Source organism: Homo sapiens, chromosome 21 (assembly GCF_000001405.40).
Source record: "Homo sapiens chromosome 21, GRCh38.p14 Primary Assembly".
NCBI classification, from domain to species: domain Eukaryota; kingdom Metazoa; phylum Chordata; class Mammalia; order Primates; family Hominidae; genus Homo; species Homo sapiens.
The window spans coordinates 39,443,032-39,461,262 of record NC_000021.9 but is presented as its reverse complement, the minus strand read 5'-3'; the positions used below and the strand labels follow the sequence as shown (position 1 = coordinate 39,461,262).

General features: G+C 43.3%; 3 protein-coding genes and 1 non-coding gene across 66 annotated transcripts in view, besides 2 other annotated features; 1 reads left to right on the top strand and 3 right to left on the bottom strand.

The window, feature by feature from the left end:
• The window catches only part of SH3BGR (SH3 domain binding glutamate rich protein), a 69,642-nt gene extending 54,244 nt beyond the window's left edge, over positions 1-15,398 (bottom strand). For 2 of the 5 annotated variants that reach the window (NM_007341.3, NM_001317740.2), the window contains exon 1: positions 9,122-9,293. In NM_007341.3, the coding sequence (NP_031367.2) occupies positions 9,122-9,166 (45 nt within the window). In that variant the 5' untranslated portion in view covers positions 9,167-9,293. Of the gene's footprint in view, positions 1-9,121; positions 9,294-15,181 lie in introns of those variants that run through there. The other 3 variants (NM_001317742.1, NM_001001713.1, NM_001317741.1) reach the window with 3 other exon arrangements.
• The window catches only part of GET1-SH3BGR (GET1-SH3BGR readthrough), a 135,179-nt gene that overhangs the window by 54,242 nt on the left and 62,706 nt on the right, over positions 1-18,231 (bottom strand). The window lies entirely within an intron of this gene.
• Positions 9,313-9,851: an enhancer, noted in NCBI's record as "H3K27ac-H3K4me1 hESC enhancer chr21:40823338-40823876 (GRCh37/hg19 assembly coordinates)". NCBI's record gives its function as "activates a minimal SCP1, AML or CMV promoter by ChIP-STARR-seq in naive H9 embryonic stem cells {active_cell/tissue: H9 hESC(naive)}" and the evidence as "EXISTENCE:reporter gene assay evidence [ECO:0000049][PMID:30033119]".
• On the bottom strand, positions 14,194-14,253 carry MIR6508 (microRNA 6508). Its single transcript, NR_106763.1, has one exon. It is a non-coding gene; the product is annotated as a microRNA 6508 (primary transcript).
• Positions 15,315-15,574: a silencer, noted in NCBI's record as "silent region_13328". NCBI's record gives its function as "represses an Ori minimal core promoter by ATAC-STARR-seq in GM12878 lymphoblastoid cells {active_cell/tissue: GM12878}" and the evidence as "EXISTENCE:reporter gene assay evidence [ECO:0000049][PMID:35858748]".
• Positions 15,485-18,231, top strand: part of LCA5L (lebercilin LCA5 like) — a 40,051-nt gene continuing 37,304 nt past the window's right edge. For 28 of the 57 annotated variants that reach the window (NM_001384294.1, NM_001384295.1, XM_047440697.1 and 25 more), the window contains exons 1-2: positions 15,485-15,538; positions 17,062-17,128. The gene's annotated coding sequence lies outside the window, so the exon portion shown is untranslated. Of the gene's footprint in view, positions 15,814-16,517; positions 16,620-17,061; positions 17,129-18,231 lie in introns of all 57 variants that reach the window. The other 29 variants (NM_001384292.1, XM_011529470.2, NM_001384287.1 and 26 more) reach the window with 5 other exon arrangements.

Here is an 18,231-nt window from a genome sequence, read left to right as displayed (position 1 = left end):
CGGGAGACTGAAGCAGGAGAATCGCTTGAACCCAGGAGGTGGAGGTTGCAGTGAGCCAAGATTGCGCCACTGCACTCCAGCCTGGGCAACAAGAGCAAAACTGTCGCAAAAAAAAAAAAAAAAAAAATCTACAAAACTAGATGAGTTGTAATGTTGTCTTTTCACATGACCTAATTGGAATAGAGATGCTCTCGTATCTTTTTTGCAGTCTTCAAAATACTTTTAATTTTTTGCAAAGCTTTAATGGCCAAAAAGTAAGTCAGAATTGGGAAGACAAGGGATTGGGAAAAGGGAAAGAAGAGAAAAAAGAGGCCAGACAATGTGGCTCACGCCTATAATCCCAGCATTTTGGAAGGCTGAGACAAAAGGATTGCTTGAGCCCAGGAGTTCGAGGTTACAGTGTGCTGATCATGCCACTGCACTCCAGCTTGGGTGACAAAGCGGGACCCTGTCTCTTAAAAATAAAATAAAAATTTTGTTTAAAGAAGAATAGAAGGCTGGGTGCGGTGGCTCACACCTGTAATCCCAACACTTTGGGAGGCCAAGGTGGGTGGATCACGAGGTCAGGAGTTCGAGACCAGCCTGACCAACATGGTGAAACCCCATCTCTACTAAACATACAAAAATTACCCGGGCGTGGTGGCATGCGCCTGAAATCTCTGCTACTCGGGAGGCTGAGGCAGTAGAATCACTTGAACCTGGGAGGCGGAGGTTGCAGTAAGCCCTGCACTCCAGCCTGGGCGACAGAGTGAGACTCTGTCTCAAAAAAAATTTTTTAGTTTAATTTTTAAAAAATAAAGCAAAATAATAAAATAAAAAAGATACTTTACTATGAAATTCAAATATCAAGTATACCCACACTAAAATGCATTTCATTCAGTTATGAAAATAAGAGTATTAGTCACATTGAACTAAAAGTAGCTTTAGAAATATTACAGGAGATTAAAAAGCTCACACAGAGACTACTGGAGGGGAAGGGCACAAGCAGAGGCTAGAAAAAGCTGGAGGATGTTTCTCCCAGCACATAAAAAAGCCACACAACAAAACAACCCTTTTCTCCCACAGATTCCTCCTTTCCTACTCACACCTGGCTCCTCTCTGAGTTCAGTGCAGCCACACCTAAGGGAACATGGTTGAATGTCCTTTCTCTACCTGTGTAACACGTAATGACTGTATCTGCCAGTAGCCATTTCTTACCAACGTGGCCATCTCTCACACTTAGAACTCCTTCCCCATAAACAATTACAAAAGCAATTACAATTTTCTTTCTTCAAAGAATTCACTCCTGAAAATGTATGATGCCATCTTTTATAAACACTGGCAAATAAGTTACAGCAGACTGTGTGGACCCCATTTTAATAACCACAGGGAGAAACTTACAAAAAGTGTAATCAGACCAGGTGCAGTGGCTCACACCTATAATCCCAGCACTTTGGGAGGCTGAAAGTGGAAGAATCACTTGAGCCCAGGAGGTCAAGACCAGCCAGCCTGGGCAAACAAATTTTTGTCGAGATGGGGCCTCTACAAAAAGTTTTTGTAGAGACCACATCTCTACAAAAAATTTAAAAATTAGACAGGTGTGGTGGTGCATGCCTGTAGTCCCAGCTACTCAAGAGGTGGGAAGATCACTTGAGCCTGGGAGGTGGAGGCTGCAATGAGCTATGATCACATCACTGCACTCCTGCCTTGGCAATAGAACAAGACCCTGTCAGAAAGAAAAAGAAAGAAAGAAAGAAAAAGGCCCAGGCATGGCGGTGCATGCCTGTAATCCCAGCACTTTGGGAGGCCAAGGTGGACGGATCACAAAGTGAAGAGATCGAGACTATCCTGGCCAACATGGTGAAACCCTGTCTCTACTAAAAATACAAAAATTAGCTGGGCATGGTGGCACGCACCTGTAGTGCAAGCTACTTGGGAGGCTGAGACAGGACAATTGCTTGAATCCAGGAGGCGGAGGTTGCAGTGAGCAGATATCGTGCCACTGCACTCCAGCCTGGCGACAGAGTGAGACTCCGTCTCAAAAAAAAAAAGAAAGAAAAAGAAAAAAGGAAGAAGGAAGGAAGGTAGGTAGGGAGAGAGGGAGGGAAGGAGGAGAAAGAAAGGGTAATAAAACAAATAATCAATCAACAGTTATTTATTGACTCTCTACTTTGCACAAGACATTGTGCCAAGTCCTTCATGTGAACAGATTCTTAAACTGCTTGTTTGGGTGAAAAAAAAAAAACCACAGAACTAATTGGTACAATATGGATATAGAATACACTCAGGATACTGAGGCAAAAGTATGGCCATTTATTAAGAGTAAGATTAAAACTTGGCCGGGTACGGTGGCTCAGGCCTGTAATCCTAGAACTGTAGGAAGCTGAGGCAGGCAGATCATCTGAGGCCAGGAGTTCGAGACCAGCCTGGCCAACATGGTAAAACCTCGTCTCTACTAAAAATACAAAAATGAGCCAGGCGTGGTGGCGCATGTCTGTAATCCCAGCTACTTGGGAAGCTGAGGCGGGAGGATCACTTGAACCCCGGAGGCAGAGGTTGCAGTAAGCCCAGATCATGCCACTGCACTCCAGCCTGGGTGAAAGAGTAAGACTCTGTCTCAAAAAAAAAAAAAAAAAGTGAGATTTAGGCCAGGCACAGTGGCTCATGCCTATAATCCCAGCATCTTGGGAGGCCAAGGTAGGTGGATCACCTGAGGTCAGGAGTTTGAGACCAGCCTGGCCAACATGGCGAAACCTTGTCTCTACTAAAAATACAAAAATTAGCTGGGTGTGGTGGCACGCATCTGTAATCCCGCTACTCAGGAGGCTGAGGCAGGAGAATCGCTTGAATCCGGGAGGCAGAGGTTGCAGTGAGCCAATATTGCACCACTGTACTCTGGCCTGGGCAACAGAGCAAGACTCTGTCTCAAATTTTAAAAAAAATAAAAATAATAAATAAATAAATAAACTTTAAAAATTTTCTTTGACATGACAGTATCTAATATCTCAATTTTTTAAAAGTCTTCTGAATAGAATACCATCTCATATAAAAACAACTCACAAAAATGTTTTACAGAGCACAAGAGCCCCTTGTCATTTTCATGTGCCTTGTTTACAAGAAGGACTACACTTTGAGGGTTTCAAACAAATGCTGTAAAAGGTACATGTCTATCCCAAATCTAATATCTCGATGCAAACCCTCTTTTAACTAAACTCAACTCCTTTCTTAGAGACATGTAAACCAAAATATCTATTTTATTCACTTTTGACAAATTTAATGACTCATGTATAGGGTGTTAGGGTGTTTCTTTGTTTGGGGTTTTTTGTTTCTTGTTTTTTTTGTTTCTTGTTTTTTCTTTTGACACAGGGTCTCCCTCTGTTGCCCAGGCTGGAGCGCAGTGGCACGATCTTGGCTCACTGCAGTCTCAATCTCCCCAGGGTCAAGTGATTCTCCCACCTCAGCCTCCCGAATAGCTGGCACTATGGACGCACACCACCACGTCTGGCTAATTTTTGGTAGAGATGGAGTTTCACCATGCTGCCCAGGCTGGTCTCAAAATCCTGGGCTCAAGTGATCCACCTGCCTCAGCCTCCTAAAGTGCTGGGATTACAGGCAAGACCCACAGTGCCCGGCTGGGTGTTTCATAATATAAGGAAAGGTAAGACAAATCTGGATACTTAAGCCCTAGAACCAAATCACCTCCAAGACCAAATTATATAACTATATAATATATAATAATCTTATATATAAGATTTATATATAACTATATAATATATAATAATCATATATATAAGATTTATATATATAACTATATAATATATAATCTTATACATAAGATTTATATATAACTATATAATATATAATAATCTTATATATAAGATTTATATATAACTATATAATATATAATAATCTTATATATAAGATTTATAGATGTAACTATATAATATATAATAATCTTATATATAATAAGATTTATATATGTAACTATATTATAATAATCTTATATATGACTTTTATATATAACAATATAATATAATAAGATTTTTATATTTAACTATATATGATTTTTATATAATTTATATAATATAATGTAATATAACTTACATAATATACATAATTTATATGATTTATATATAATTTGTTCTTGATGGTGATTTGATTATATATGGTATATAATATAAATTAATATCAAGTAATTCTTAATTTTTTTAAATTTTATATTTACTATGTTAATTTTTAAAACAAAATTGACAGTCAATATATATTATAAAATTTTATATAAATAAGTATACAAATCACATATAAACTTATATAAATGGTAATCACGCATTTAATTTAATTAACACTTATACCATCAATATAAAAAAGACAATGGAACTAAAGACAGTGGATCAATAAATTAAAGGCTCTGTTTGCCACAACACAACACTTACTCAATCTGTAAGACTCAGGCCAACAAAGGTACTGCAGTTTGGGGCAAGCACGGACAAATAAATATAGATAGACAGAAAGGTGTGGAATGATGGAATTTCTCTTAAACTTCTGGCATATGGACTCTGGTAATTCCCCAGGATCAGGCCTATGAGAACCAAAGGAGGAGGTGCGTGCTCCCCACCAAGGTGCCCTCCTCCCACAGCTGTGCCGTGGATGCCTGGCACTAGATCTGCTACCCCGCATGGAATCTGCTACCCCGCATGGAAACTGCTACCCCACACGGAAACTGCTACCCCACATGGAAACTGCTCCAAATTCCACAGTTTCACGGCTGAATTTTCAACATTACAAAATCCCATCAGACCTGATGACAGGTTGTTGGACTAAATCATCATTTTAATTAATCGCATTCTCTACACATCTTTTCCAACCTGTCCATAACTATTCACGCCATTTTATAAAGCACTTATTCCCTTACATCTTTTCAGAGACGACTTTGCTGTTTCAAAGAGTAGAGATGCCTTCATTTTAGGCAGTTTTACTTTTAATTAACTATTCAGAAGGCAACTCCTTTATTCGGTCCAAACCCCTGTCTGCTCTTTCTCCAAAGCCTTCTAAGATACCCTCTTGGGAGCACGAATTGGCCTGGGAGGCAGCTGGCCCAGGTCCAAGCCACCTCACCAACATTATTTCTATCAACCATGCCTCAGGGCTTGATGTGGGATGGGAAAAAAGCTATATTTTATTCCATAATTTTGGAATAGATGAAAAATATTTCCAAAAGTCTTGACTTATGTTTCTTCTATTAGAAAGGCAAAAAGAGATGGAGACAATGGGAGGGGAAGACCATGCTTGCGATTAAGCTTCACAAGACAGGCAATTGCATCCAGGTCCATTGCGGGACTGTTGGACGCATGGCATTGTGTTAAGTGCCATTTCTCAGCCCTCATCCCCAAAAAAGGAGAAAAAGAAGAAGAAAAATGAAATCTGTTTGCCCCCTGTAATCCCCCAAACACTAGTCATTTAAACAGAGCCCAGTGCATTGCTTATCACGCTATTCAGGGCACTTGAGTTCTGCCTGGGCTGGGAGCCTGCAGAAAAGGGTCTTAGGATCCAGGCCAGAGGAGGGAAGAGGGGAGTGAGCACATGAGCTAACCTGGCCGGCACTGTCGTCTTGCTGCACCCCTGTGCCCCGGCTCTAGCATGGGGCCCCTCTCCTCCAAAATCCTCCCCCTTGCAGGGTCCCTGATCAAGGAGCTCCTGTGGGCCTGCAAAGTGCAGCTCCTCACAGCGCCTGCTGAGCTGACTCCCAGGGACACAGTATCAGCTCTTGGAAGAGTCCATCTCTTTATGGCCCAGAGGGAGGGGTGTGCATAGCACCCCATCAGTTCCCATCATGGACACACTCCTACTCTTCACCTCTCCCCCTTTGCCCCTTCTCCACCCTCCAGGGTGCCATGGCCCATGCTGGCCCCCCAGGCTGCACTGTCTGTCCTGAGTAGTGGCTCTACAGGATCTGGGGGTATTTGGGGTGTGTGTCATTGTTTGGAGCCTTTGGGACCTCAGTGAAGACTCAGAGAGCTCCGTTTTCCTATCCTGTTACATTTACTTATAAGAAAGTATTGTTCTCTGTCCTAAAGTCACCCAGACACTGTTAGCTACTAGACTGTGTCAGAGTGATCTGACAGCAGCACCTCTTATTGCCACTCACTTGGCACCTCTCGTTTATTGTCTTGTACAGTTAGGAGACTTTCCAACTGAGATCACTGTACTGTAGTATAAAGCACACTGGATTCGAGCCAGAGACGACCTGTGTTTCCATCCTAGCTTGGAAGGCTGCTTTCTGAGCAAGGGCTCTGATCTCCAATTTCTTCATCTGCAAACTGGATGTAACAATGCCTTCCTCACAGTGTTTTGGTGGGAACTGAAGAAGATGATGCATGGAAAAGCATTTTGTACCTTAGGCTGAAAACCTGCACTGTCAGGCACCACATAGCACACTACCATCCCAGTGCACTGTCACACGGGCCATCTAGGTAGGTATTTGGATGGCTATTTTATAACAATGCTGAGGCTCCAATAAATGAATGAATTTTCCAAGAATGACACTCAACGATCTAATTCAAGAGTCATATTTTTCCCACGATATTTACACTGTCAATCAAAATGGAGAAAGGACTGTGAAGCCCAAGAGCCACTATGAGGGTCTGTCCTTAAAGATCGGTTCCAGGGGCTGTGCATCTTGGAGACGGCAGGGACTGTCCTCTCTCCCTTTGTCCCCCCTGCCCCACTGTGGCCTTCTGGAAGAGAGGAGGGTCCTAGAAGAAGTCACGCGCCCTCTCCTGCTCCCCAGGGTCTCTTAACCCAAATCCGTCCAGAACGTGGTAAAATGTGCCACAGCTCTTTGAAGTCAACTATTAAAATTGAGATGTAATACACAGCTGCATGTATTTAATTCCTCATAAGGAGACTACAATTTGCTTTTCCTTTCTCATTTATTTCATTCAACCAACAGAAGTCAGAATGCCCTTACTGATGAGGTATCAGGCAAGAATCCATTTTTTAAATGTACAGGCTGAAGAAATAAGTAGGAAAGGCTTGGCAGACTGACTGCCACACAGTAGCATGGGCACAAGAAGCCACTCTAGGGTTTTCCTGCCAAGAAGTTTTGAGTGAAATTTCTCTACCCATGAAAAATCATTAGCACTGACATCGCAGGGATAATCAATTCTCATTCTTACGGCTAAGGCAGAAATTCTCTCATGTATGTGGTTCTGGAAAATTCTTCTCACACATACTGATCATAGACCCTGATCTACTAAATAATATTAGCTAATAATTATAGTAACTAATAATTGTAACTGAAATCCTAATTAATATTCATTAACTAACTAATAATAACAATTATAGTAGCAACTAATATTAACTAATAGCAGCTAGTAAGTATAAATAACATTCACTAATCATTAGAATATTTCTTGAGTGCTGATAAACACTTGACACCATGCGGGGCACCCACGCACATCATTTCATCAGTCCTCATGACAACACTATGATGTAGGCACTATTCTTATCCTCATTTTACAGACAAGGAAATTGAGGCTTAACAAGGTGAAATAACTTTCCCAAGGTCATACAGTTACAAGTGGCACTGAAACATTTGCTTAGGGAACCAAAACTAATGGCTTTTCCAAGACCCTGGGATGAACATTGCCTCTCCAGGTCATCCAAAGCTAACTAAATTATGGGCCCAAACTTCAAGAACACAGGACATCAAATAAACCTTAAAAATCCATTAACTTATTGATTGTCTTCTGAAGAATATGTAGACCAGGTCTACAGAATATATAGAGGACTGGCTGGTAAGAGGTAAAGTTTTTAGCAATGAGCATCAACAACGTATTTAGAGCCCACCAAAACCATTTTCCCCCCCAAAAAAATTTTTTTATCCAATAGCCAAAAAATTTACTCCTTCTAGATCAACTGAAAGTTTCAGCAGTCATCAATAGCCACAAAAGATTTCGCAGAGTTTCACATTTGGAGTGTGTTCTCATCTTTTTCGGCTAATTTGTTCTAGAGATCACTAAAACAATAGCTGCTCAGTTGTACTTAGCAAAAGGGACAGCCAAGCTATTTTCTCTTGCTTTCTTCTCACCCTCTCTGGAAACCTCATGAACTTTCGGGGCTGGGAGTGGTGGCACTCAGCGGCTGCCTTTGGGGCTGTCACCCCAGCCAATGGCTTACTCTGGGTACTGTTTCTGGCAGAGTGGCTGCTGAAATCCCAGCCGAAACCTGAGATCCTCCAGAAACTAGATATAAAAGGAACAGCCGCCTTGCTGGTCTCTAACTCTTGGGTTTAATAAAACTGTTTTTTCTCTCCACAGCCTTCCTAACTGCTGCTAAAATGCTGGTCGAAATATCAGTTCCAGACAGACAGACACTATATAGGTTCAAGCCTAAAATCAAAGTCTGACCCATTTCCAAAGAGAAATGTGTCACTTCATCACCCCTATTTCTTACGGCAGGTCCAGCTTGCACAGAATGAAGGCCAGAATTGAAGAGGTAGATGGTCTCAAGAAAATTAGACAAAGCACTGGTTATGAAGGTCGGCTTTCAGCTCTTATTTTGGGGCCGTCTGAATGCCTGGAGTGTTTATAACTGTGGCCTGAGAGATGTCTGCTCTGGTCACTGTGACATCACTTTCCTCAAACAATGGATTACACATGCTAACTTTACACTTTCAGTATGGTTACATCATTACATGGCATATACAAGTGATTACACCCCAGAGTCATTTTAGCAATCTGGTTCATCATCCGCTCCAAACAGTGTTACACAAAGTATCATTTATTTACAATTTTAAATTAGTTTAAGCCTTGCAGAATGAATGGCAGAAACACATACAAAAAAGTCCCTGCTTCTATGATATTCACAAGGCAACACAACACAAATCACATGTTAAAAATTCTAGTGTCAAGCACGCCTCCTTACTCGAATCCCTTTTCACACCCAGCCATCCAGATTACACCCTTTCCATGCTTTTTCAACACTATGAAATCAAATGCAGAAAGCAAAGGGCGCACATACTTATTGCAGAGCCACAGCTGACTACACGCAAAAAAGAAACTGAAGGCCAACGTTGGCCATATTTCCAACCCTAAGTTATTCAGAAAAGAGTATAGGAAGAAAGAGTCCACCAGACACCTACCGCTATGGACCCAGAAGATGTAGCAACAAACACTTTGATAACCATTTCGACAGTTGGAAAGAGGACTCCCCCCAACACACCCCTGTCAGGGAATGCGCCGCTAGACAAATCCTGACAGTGACACAGGCAAGCAAGTGCCAGGTCGGGGCTGGCAGCAGCCCAGGGGTCCACTGGGCTCCGGCAGTCCCGCTCCAACTTAAGAGGCTCTGTCTCTCCAAGGAGCAGCAGAGGCATCTTGGGCTCCTCCCTCCATTGGCCCAGGAATATTTTGGGATCTGTCAGGAAAATATTTGATTGGTCGATAAAAGCAGCCACTGGACCCTTTCCCTATCACTTTAAACGCGCGACAACAGTCCCTAAAAGGCCAGGCTGTGCTGTGCACCAATCGGAGACCTGTGCAGAGATGCCTTGGGGCCAAGGGAGGTGGGGCCCCGGTAACAGAGCAGCAGGAGGCGAAAGAAGTGAGGGAGGAGCTCTTGGGAGCTGGAAAAGCCCAGAAAACACCACCTCAGTCTAGGAGGAGGCTGGGTTTAAAGGGCTTTTGGCAAACAAATAAACTGGAAGGGTCAGAATAGCCACAGAGGCCTTTAAGTAAAGAGCAACTTTGTTTTTTTTCCTGGCAGGTTAAAAAAAATTTTTTAAGTAAACTGTCATACAATAGAAATGCCTTTAAGAGTGGCTGTTTCCAGTGTGCTCTCTTTCCCACCTGTTTCTCCTAAAGAACAGAAACTGACCAGCCATGGGCCATCTAAAGTTTCACTGACATCCAGGGAGGTAGGGAAATAGCCGCTGGCTTCTCAATACTCATGGCTGCAACAAGCCAATTGTCTCACTATTTTATTTACTTGTCACTGACTTGAAGTTTATTAACTATTTTAAAGTGCTTGGGGAAAAAACCAAAATAATCTGTTTATAACAGGCTCTTTGTTTACATAGGTATTTTGTGTTTATTTATATATATTTGTGTTTATACATGTTAATATTTATATAGGTATTTTGAATTGTGTTAAAAGTTAGAGAAGGTCCGGGGCAGTGTCTCACACCTGTAATCCCAACACCTTGGGAGGTCAAGGCAGGAGGATTGTGTGAGCCCAGAAGTTCAAGACCAGTCTGGGTAACATACTGAGGTACGACTTTACCAACAACAATAACACAAAAAAAAACAGCCAGGCATGTTGGCAGGCGCCTGTATCTGTATTTCCAGCGACTTGGAAGGCTGAGGTGGAAGGATCCCTTGAGCCCTTTAGCCAGGAGTTTGAGGCTGCAGTGAGCTATGATCACACCCACGGCACTCCAGCCTGGGTGACAGAACAAGACCTTATCTCTAAAACAAAACCAAATCAAACAAACAAACAAATTAAATTAAAGGAATACAAAATCTAGCAAAGAAGCCCAAATGCCAGTTATGCAAATTCTTCTGATAGATTTCAAAATCAAGATCAAGGGCATTAGGGACAAAGGGCTAGTTTTTCAAGAAGCACTTGGGGGATATTTAGCTTAGATAACTGAGTCTCTTACTGTCTCTCTCTCTCTCTGTTCTCCGGCTCCCTTTTTAAAATCCCCTGCTGCCCATCATGGATTGGGTGGCACCGACGTTCCGAAGCAGAGAGGAATCTCCCAGGCTTCTGTACTCCCTCTTCACCTGAGTCCCAGAGCCCCAGAGGCATGTTTCCCACCCCCTCAGGTAGGTGCCTGCAACGAGAAAAGACATCCCAGTCCCCGGAATATCCCAGTTCCTGGAATATCGCTTAAATGCCCCTACATCACAATGAATGATTGAGGTGACTACCAACATTTAACTTTTGGCTTCAACATGCAAAGTTAGCTGCTCCAAAAATAAGGTCCTTGATGAAGATGATTAATGGTTCCCCAAATTTAAGTCAGTAGAATTATAAATTTTATTTTAAAGCACACCAAGGATTACAGATCAGTTTTTCTTTTCTGCATTTTCAAAATTTCTACAGTACGTATTATTTTTTCATACAATTATATATTTTCACACCTTAAAGTCTGCCACATAAGCATGCCATATTTCTCCAAATATTACTTGAAGAAAGTGGGGGCATATTTTCTAATGACTTTGTAAGTTAGTAGCATAAACTATAGCTGGATTCTCAGGTGCTCTAGAGAATACGCATCTCTTGATTATATCAGGTGAAAACTGCCCTCAATAATGACACCTCCTCCATCTGCAAACCCTGGGGAGAAATTAATTTCCTACTCAAATAACAGCTAACAATTTGTAGGTGTTGTCCATGTGCCAGATCTGCTCTAGGTGCTTTGCATAAGCCACTCCCTTAACCTGTATAAGAACCCTAAAACTGTGTTCCATTATTATGCCCACTCACCATGAGGACACAGAACTAGAGATGATGGGAATAGGAAATGGCATATCCAAGACTTAAGCCTCACCCATTCCTCTCCACACCACATGAGAAGCTCCTGAGATGCTACCCTCAAATTCCTAGTGCCCCCTTTTCACTATGAATTTTTTTAAGTTTATTCTTTTCGAAATGACCATAAAAATGTACAAATTAAAAATCTGAAAACTCCAGCTGAAAGATTCCTTCTAATGTATTATTACACTAATGACACAAACGAGCTTCAACATAATTAACAGGAATAGCGAACATTCCAAATGCATCTTAAAATAAAGCTCAATGAACCCCTGACTTACAAAATCCACTTCAGAAAGAAGGTGTATAATTTAGTGAAGATGCAAGCAGCCAACCATTCAACATCTCCAGTGCTTGCTGTTTATGTCTGTTCACAAAGACCAGGAGATCCACGGAGGAAGGAAAGGAGATTTTATTTTTAGGGGGAGATACAACCTGCAGATTGGGGAATGCAGCTTACAGAAAAAACCAAAAATGCACATGCTGCAGAAGGGAGGAAGGAGCTGGTATCTGTGTCTTACAGAGTCAGCCTTACATACATACTGAGCAAGGTTGCAGAGGATCTACTAATATTTATGAGGAAATTCAGGCATGTGTGCAGTGGGTAAACATATATGTATCATACATTCCATGTTCACCTTGGGGTGGAGTTCTAGCATTAAAATGGGATGGAATTTGGCTCTTTATATCAACAGGTGAACTATAGGGCACAAAGACATTTTATGTGCAATTTCTATAAGCTGGCCAAAATTGGCTGGAGGTCTGCAGCTGTTTATCAATAAAGAATGTTTATAAGACCAGTCCTTTGTCCAACTGGAGTTGTAGTAGGTCTGCAAGGCGTTTGGGGGTGGGGGCGCATACTGAGGGAGGGAATGTTTCCATTGGCTGGCATCAGGCAGTCTATCGGGGTCAGTTGGAAATTTTCCAGCTGAAGTTGTGTTGGCTATGCTTTTTCGAAGCTGGTTTCTGCTTACTTAATAGCAGTTAATAATGCAAAAATACGTAACTAACCCCTCATCCTTCTGGCTGTGACATTCTGGAGGTTTTGTTTTGTTTTGTTGTTTGTTTTTTGTTTGTTTCTGTCACCAGGCTGGAGTGCAGTGGCTTGATCTCAGCTCATTGCAACCTCCACCTCCCACATTCATCTCCTGCCTCAGCCTCCCGAGTAGGACATTCTGTTTTTGGTGCATCTCATTTTAGGAAACAGGAGTTCATTTTGTCCGTCTGTTGGAGTATATTTTAACAAGTCAAATAACATCACTTTTTGATTTGATTAATTTTGATTTAAAGACATGAGGTACTGGGCTACAAACTTCATAGAGACCCCCAGATGATCTCATGATAAATGATACCAGATGATATGTTTTGATTTACATAACTTTACAGATAACTTAAAATGACAAATAAAGACACGTCTTTATTATGTAGAATGATGGAAATGATTACCATAATAACTGTAGTGGGTTGAATATTGTTCACCAAAATTCATGTTCAGCCAAACCTCAGCATGTAACCTTATTTGGAAATAGAGTCTTTACAGATGTAATCAGTTGAGGGGGTCTTGTGATTAAATCATCCTGGATTTAGGGTGGGCCCTAAGTCCAATGACTGGTTGTCCTTATAAGAAGACAAGACAGGGAGACACAGAGAAGAACACCCTGTGAAGATGGAAGCAGAAATTGGAGTGGTGCTGCCACAAGCCAAGGAATAGCAGGAGTCCCCATAAGCTGGAAGACTCAAAAAATTCTCCCTAAGAGCCTTCAGAGGAAACATGGACTTTCAGACAACTTGGTTTCATACTTCTGACCTCCAGAAATGTGAGAAGATAAAGTTCTATTGTTCTAAGCCCCTAAGTTCGTGGTAGTCTGTTATGACATCCCTAGGAACCTAGGAACCTAATATAGAGAAATAAAGGCTATGCTTTTTATGTGGCATGATGGAGATGGCCCCAGAATAGTGAAAGGCCATGGCTCTTCTCCTTCCATTGTGTACACAGAAAAGAACACCCCTTCGAAAGCAAAAGCAAAGGCCAGGCACGGTGGCTTATGCCTGAAATCCCAACATTTTGGGAGGCCGAGGCGGGCAGATCACTTGAGGTCAGGAGTTCAAGGCCAGCCTAGCCAACATCGCAAAACCCCATCTCTACTAAAAATACAAAAAGAATTAGCCGGGTGTTGTGACTCACACCTGTAATCCCAGCTACTCAGGAGGCTGATGCAGGAGAATCACCTGAACCCAGGAAGCGGAGGTTGTGGTGAGCTGGGATGGCGCCACTGCATTCCAGCCTGAGCGATAGAGTGATACGTCTCAAAAAAAAAAAAAAAAAAAAGCAAAAGCGAAAGCAAAGAAAGATTCAAGGGCAGATTTGCAGTGACTTATCATGTCTACAGACTGGGAAAAGCTGGTAGAAAAGAGGAGGAAACCATTCTCAGGAAACTCTACCTTTCAATTCCTCCAGTCATGAGCTCCAGGGTTGGATGCTCCCGCAATGGCAAAACTCCGCTCTCGTTACTGTCATGGGGCCACCACCACCCACCAAGCATCAGCCCATCTTTCCATAATGTCAAGTCTAGAGTGACATTTGTCTAATGTTTGCCTACCTGGAGATGTTGCCCCGCCCACCACCACCAGCAAAAACAACCGGCACCCATCTTATACGGATAATTCCCTACCTAAGGAGTTCTAGAAATGCATGGCCCACCAAAACTCAGGGTGGGTCATGCATTTCTAGAGGAAGAAATGGTGATATGGAGAGAAAGCTTGTCCTAACCCACTTCTACCAAAGTAGGATTAAAGTCAATTTGAAAAAAAACACCCGTTTCTCCTTTTATATAAAAACCAAATGCAGAAACTATAGAGAAATGTAATAAGCTTGACTCTACACAAATACCAAAATACACTGTAAACAAAATTAAAGGTAACTGACAAATTGAGGAAATATTTGCAACGTATATCACAAGCCAAGTTTTCAAGCATCAAAAGTCCTTACAAAACCCATTTTTACAAAGATGAATGTCAAGTTTTAAAATGGACAAAAGACAGGAAAATGCAAATCACACAATAAGGACAAATGGCACTCAAGATATGGGAAAAAGTCTATTCTTCCTACTAAAAAGGAAGTGAATACAATTAAAGATGCCAATTTTTGACAATAAAATGGGCAAAAAAATTTTAAGAAAAAAGAGAATTTCCAATGCGGGCCAAGTATCGGGACACTTACTGGAAGGCAGTTTCCCTCTACCTTTAGAAAGCCTCAAAGTGAGCATATGCTTTGGCCCTGCAACCTCGCTTGTAGGAATTTATCCTAAGGAAACAGTCAGGGGTGACCTCAAAGATTCATCTGCAAGGATATTCAACATGGCTTTGATGCAGGAAAAAAAGTAAATAAATAAAAGGAAACAATGTAAGTCTTCCTAAATTATGCCAAATTCCTATGCTGTCATTAAAAAACATCTATAACTCCATCATCTAGGTGATTTTGACTTTTGCTTTGGACTTGCCTGTACATTTCTAAATTCTCTATGCCAAACATGCATTGTTTTGTCATCAGATTTTGTTTTACAAAAAAAAAAAAAAAATCGTCTTTATGACAAGGGGTTAATAGGGGAACTGTGCTTCCCAGGAATTGACCAGGCGTCTACACCCACCTACTGACTCAAGTTACCTAAGACTGACAGAGCCTTAAGAGGTCAGGAGAGCGCCAGAGCGCGTGACAGGCTCCCTCGTCTCGGTGCGGCCACGCGGGAAGGCAGGGTCCCGGGCGCCGAACAGGGACGGCAGGAGGATCGTTTACAGACGTCTACACAAGAAACTCACTTCCCGTCACCGAAGACAAACGCGAGGCCACACTGACCTCCAGGCCCAAGACGCCCCTCCCCGCCGCGGCTCCTGCTGCCCGAGTGCGCATGCGCGCGCCCAGCCCCCGCAGGCCGGCGCTTCCCAGGAGGCCCCGCGCGCGGGTTTCCATGGGGACGCGCCGGCGCTGCGGCGTTGGCGCAGTCGTGGGAACAGCGCGGAGCAGGTAACGGCCCCGCTGCTGCCGTCGTCCCCCTCAGCCGGTTACCCTGTTACAGCCCCAGCTCTGGGCCCTTCCGGACCCTCCTGCTACGCTCTTTCTGGGCTTCCAGTATCGCCGGTCACTCAGTCCTCGCCCCTGCCTGCCTCGCTGGCGCCCCGCCGTTTCCTCCTCGCGGCACAGTTTGCCAAGGAACAGCTACCCCGGCTCGGCAGTGACCGGGCGCCCCGGCGACACACGTACTCTCAGGCCCGCTGGGCAGGGGGACGGCCTGGGCCGAGGTGACCTAGCGCTCCCGGGGCCGCGCCTGGGTCTGGCGAGGGGGCGGAGGCCGATCTCACCGCCGCCCCACCGAGGGAACTTTGGGGTTTTTCTATCTGAATCTTCTATCTGACCTCCGATTTTGCCTCTGCTTACTTGCTGTTTTGCTTTGGATTAGTTTTTCTTTCTAACCTTAGCGCTGGCATCTCCCTATCTCGTAGGAATCTAAATCTTTTGAAATGTCTTCTCTGTCTGTGTTTGTCCCCCACTCACCCAGCCTCGGGGCTCTTTATCCACACCCTCCCCTCAGCGTGTTAACGTTTCGTTGCCACACTTAAGCCAACGGTTAACTTTTTTCAGAGACCAGTTTTCACGGCTGAATGTGAGCTTGAGCCTTTTTTCTGTCTACACTCAATCCCTAGATGAACTCATCCAGTCGCCTGTACTCAGAGCCTATCTGAATTCCAGTGAGCCCCAAGTGTGCATTCCCAGCCCTCGCCCCTCCCCTGAACACCAGATCCCTGCATTTAGCTGCCTGCCACATCCCTACTTGGATGTCTACGGCATCTCAAACACAGCTCGTCCAAGATAGCGCTCAATAATTCCCCAAGCCAAGCCTGTCCTCCCACAATCTTAATCCATCATAGTTGCTGGAAATTCCATCCTCCAGTTGCCCGAGTCTTGCATCCTGTTTGAGTCCTGTTTTTCTCTTCCTCACCTTCAGTCTGTCAGCACTGCCTTCAAAATGCACCCAGAATAGATTCACAATTCTACCATTTCTCTCAACCGCCACTGTCACCACCTTGGTCCAGGCCCCCATCATCTGGTGCGTGGATTATTTTACTTGCTTCCTAATTGGTTTCCCTGAGTCTGCCCCTCCCCCACTTGAGCATGACAGTCTTAATGGTATTTCCCCGTTCTCTGTTATTTCGTATGAGTAAGTTTTTTAAAGGATTATATAAATTACAATTTCCTTATATAAATTACAACTTCCATAGGTAAAAGTGCAGTATTTTCAGTATGTATTTTGCAAATTGCAACTTTTAAACCGGGTCAGCAAGGCCATATAAGCATCCTGCTAACAAGCTAAAAATGTAAAGACACCCCTTAGCTTTGTTAGGTATAAATATGACAGTGCCCCTGGAACAGAACTATGGCAAGAGCTTTACAAGGGACTGTCCTGAAGAACAAAAGAACCCAGAGCCTTCTTCCCAGCGCAAAGACAGGAATCATGTAGGAGTTTAAGCTCTTCCTTTTTTATTTTTTAGAGAAGCACCAAAAGAGGCAAACTGAGATGCAGACAAATGATCATCCGTATGCTGATCATTTTGAATAGTAAGTACCTGGGTGCTGATACCGCGATCAATGTGACAGGTCCCTGCCCTCAAGGAGCTAAGGCCCCTAGCCAATCTCTCTTTTTTTGTTGTTTTTTTTTTTTTTAAGACAGAGCCTTACTCTGTCGGCCAGGCTGGAGTGCAGTGGCAAGATCTCGGCTCACTGCAACCTCCATCTCTGGGCTCAAGCAATTCTCCTGCCTCGGCCTGAGTAGCTGGGATTACAGGTGTACGCCACCATGCCCAGCTAATTTTTGTATTTTTAGTAGAGATGGGGTTTCACCATGTTGGCCAGGCTGGTCTCAAACTCCTGACCTCAGGTAATCTGCCTGCCTCGGCCTTCCAAAGTGCTGGGATTAAAGGCGTGAGCCACTGCGCCCGGCCCTACCCTTGCCACTCTCTTAAACTCCTAGCCCCATCTTTTCTCTTTTGCCATCAGGTAAAACCCCAATTAACCAAAGTAACAGAGTAGGATTGCCACGGTTAGCTGAGGGTCTGTAGGAGATTGCATTTCATAAATGACCATTTTCCTCAGATTTGATCTCCCACCACGCCCTTGTGCTGTCACTTCATAGAGAAGCTTGAAGCTGTCACATGGGAATCCCCTCATTCTTCAGCTCCCAAAACTGCAAGCCTTACTTATATCTGTTCCTACCTTCCTTCCTCCTCCTAACCAAGGCCACTCCCTCTCCGTGCTTTGGATCCCATCGCTTTCCACTCGCCAAAAACTCTACCCTGTCAGGTATACATTCCCTCTCCTGTATGATCACCTGTTCCATCTCAGCTGGCTCTTTGCCATGGTTTTGAAGCATGTTCAAGTCTCCCATCACAAAAGAGAAAAAAAGAATCTTCTTTGACCCCACGTTCCCCTTCAGTTTCCAGTTATTGTCCAATCCCTTATCCCTTTCGACAGGCAAACTTTAAAGAACTGCCATATTCAATGCCTCTATTATTTGTCTCTCACTCCTCAGCCAGTATGGCTTCCCTCTTCATCTCTGCTAAAACAAAAACCAGGAATGAGACTTTTTCAGGCTTTGTCTTGCTCAATCTCTCAGCGGCATCTGAAACTGCTGCCCCCATTTCACTCTACAAACACTGTCTTCC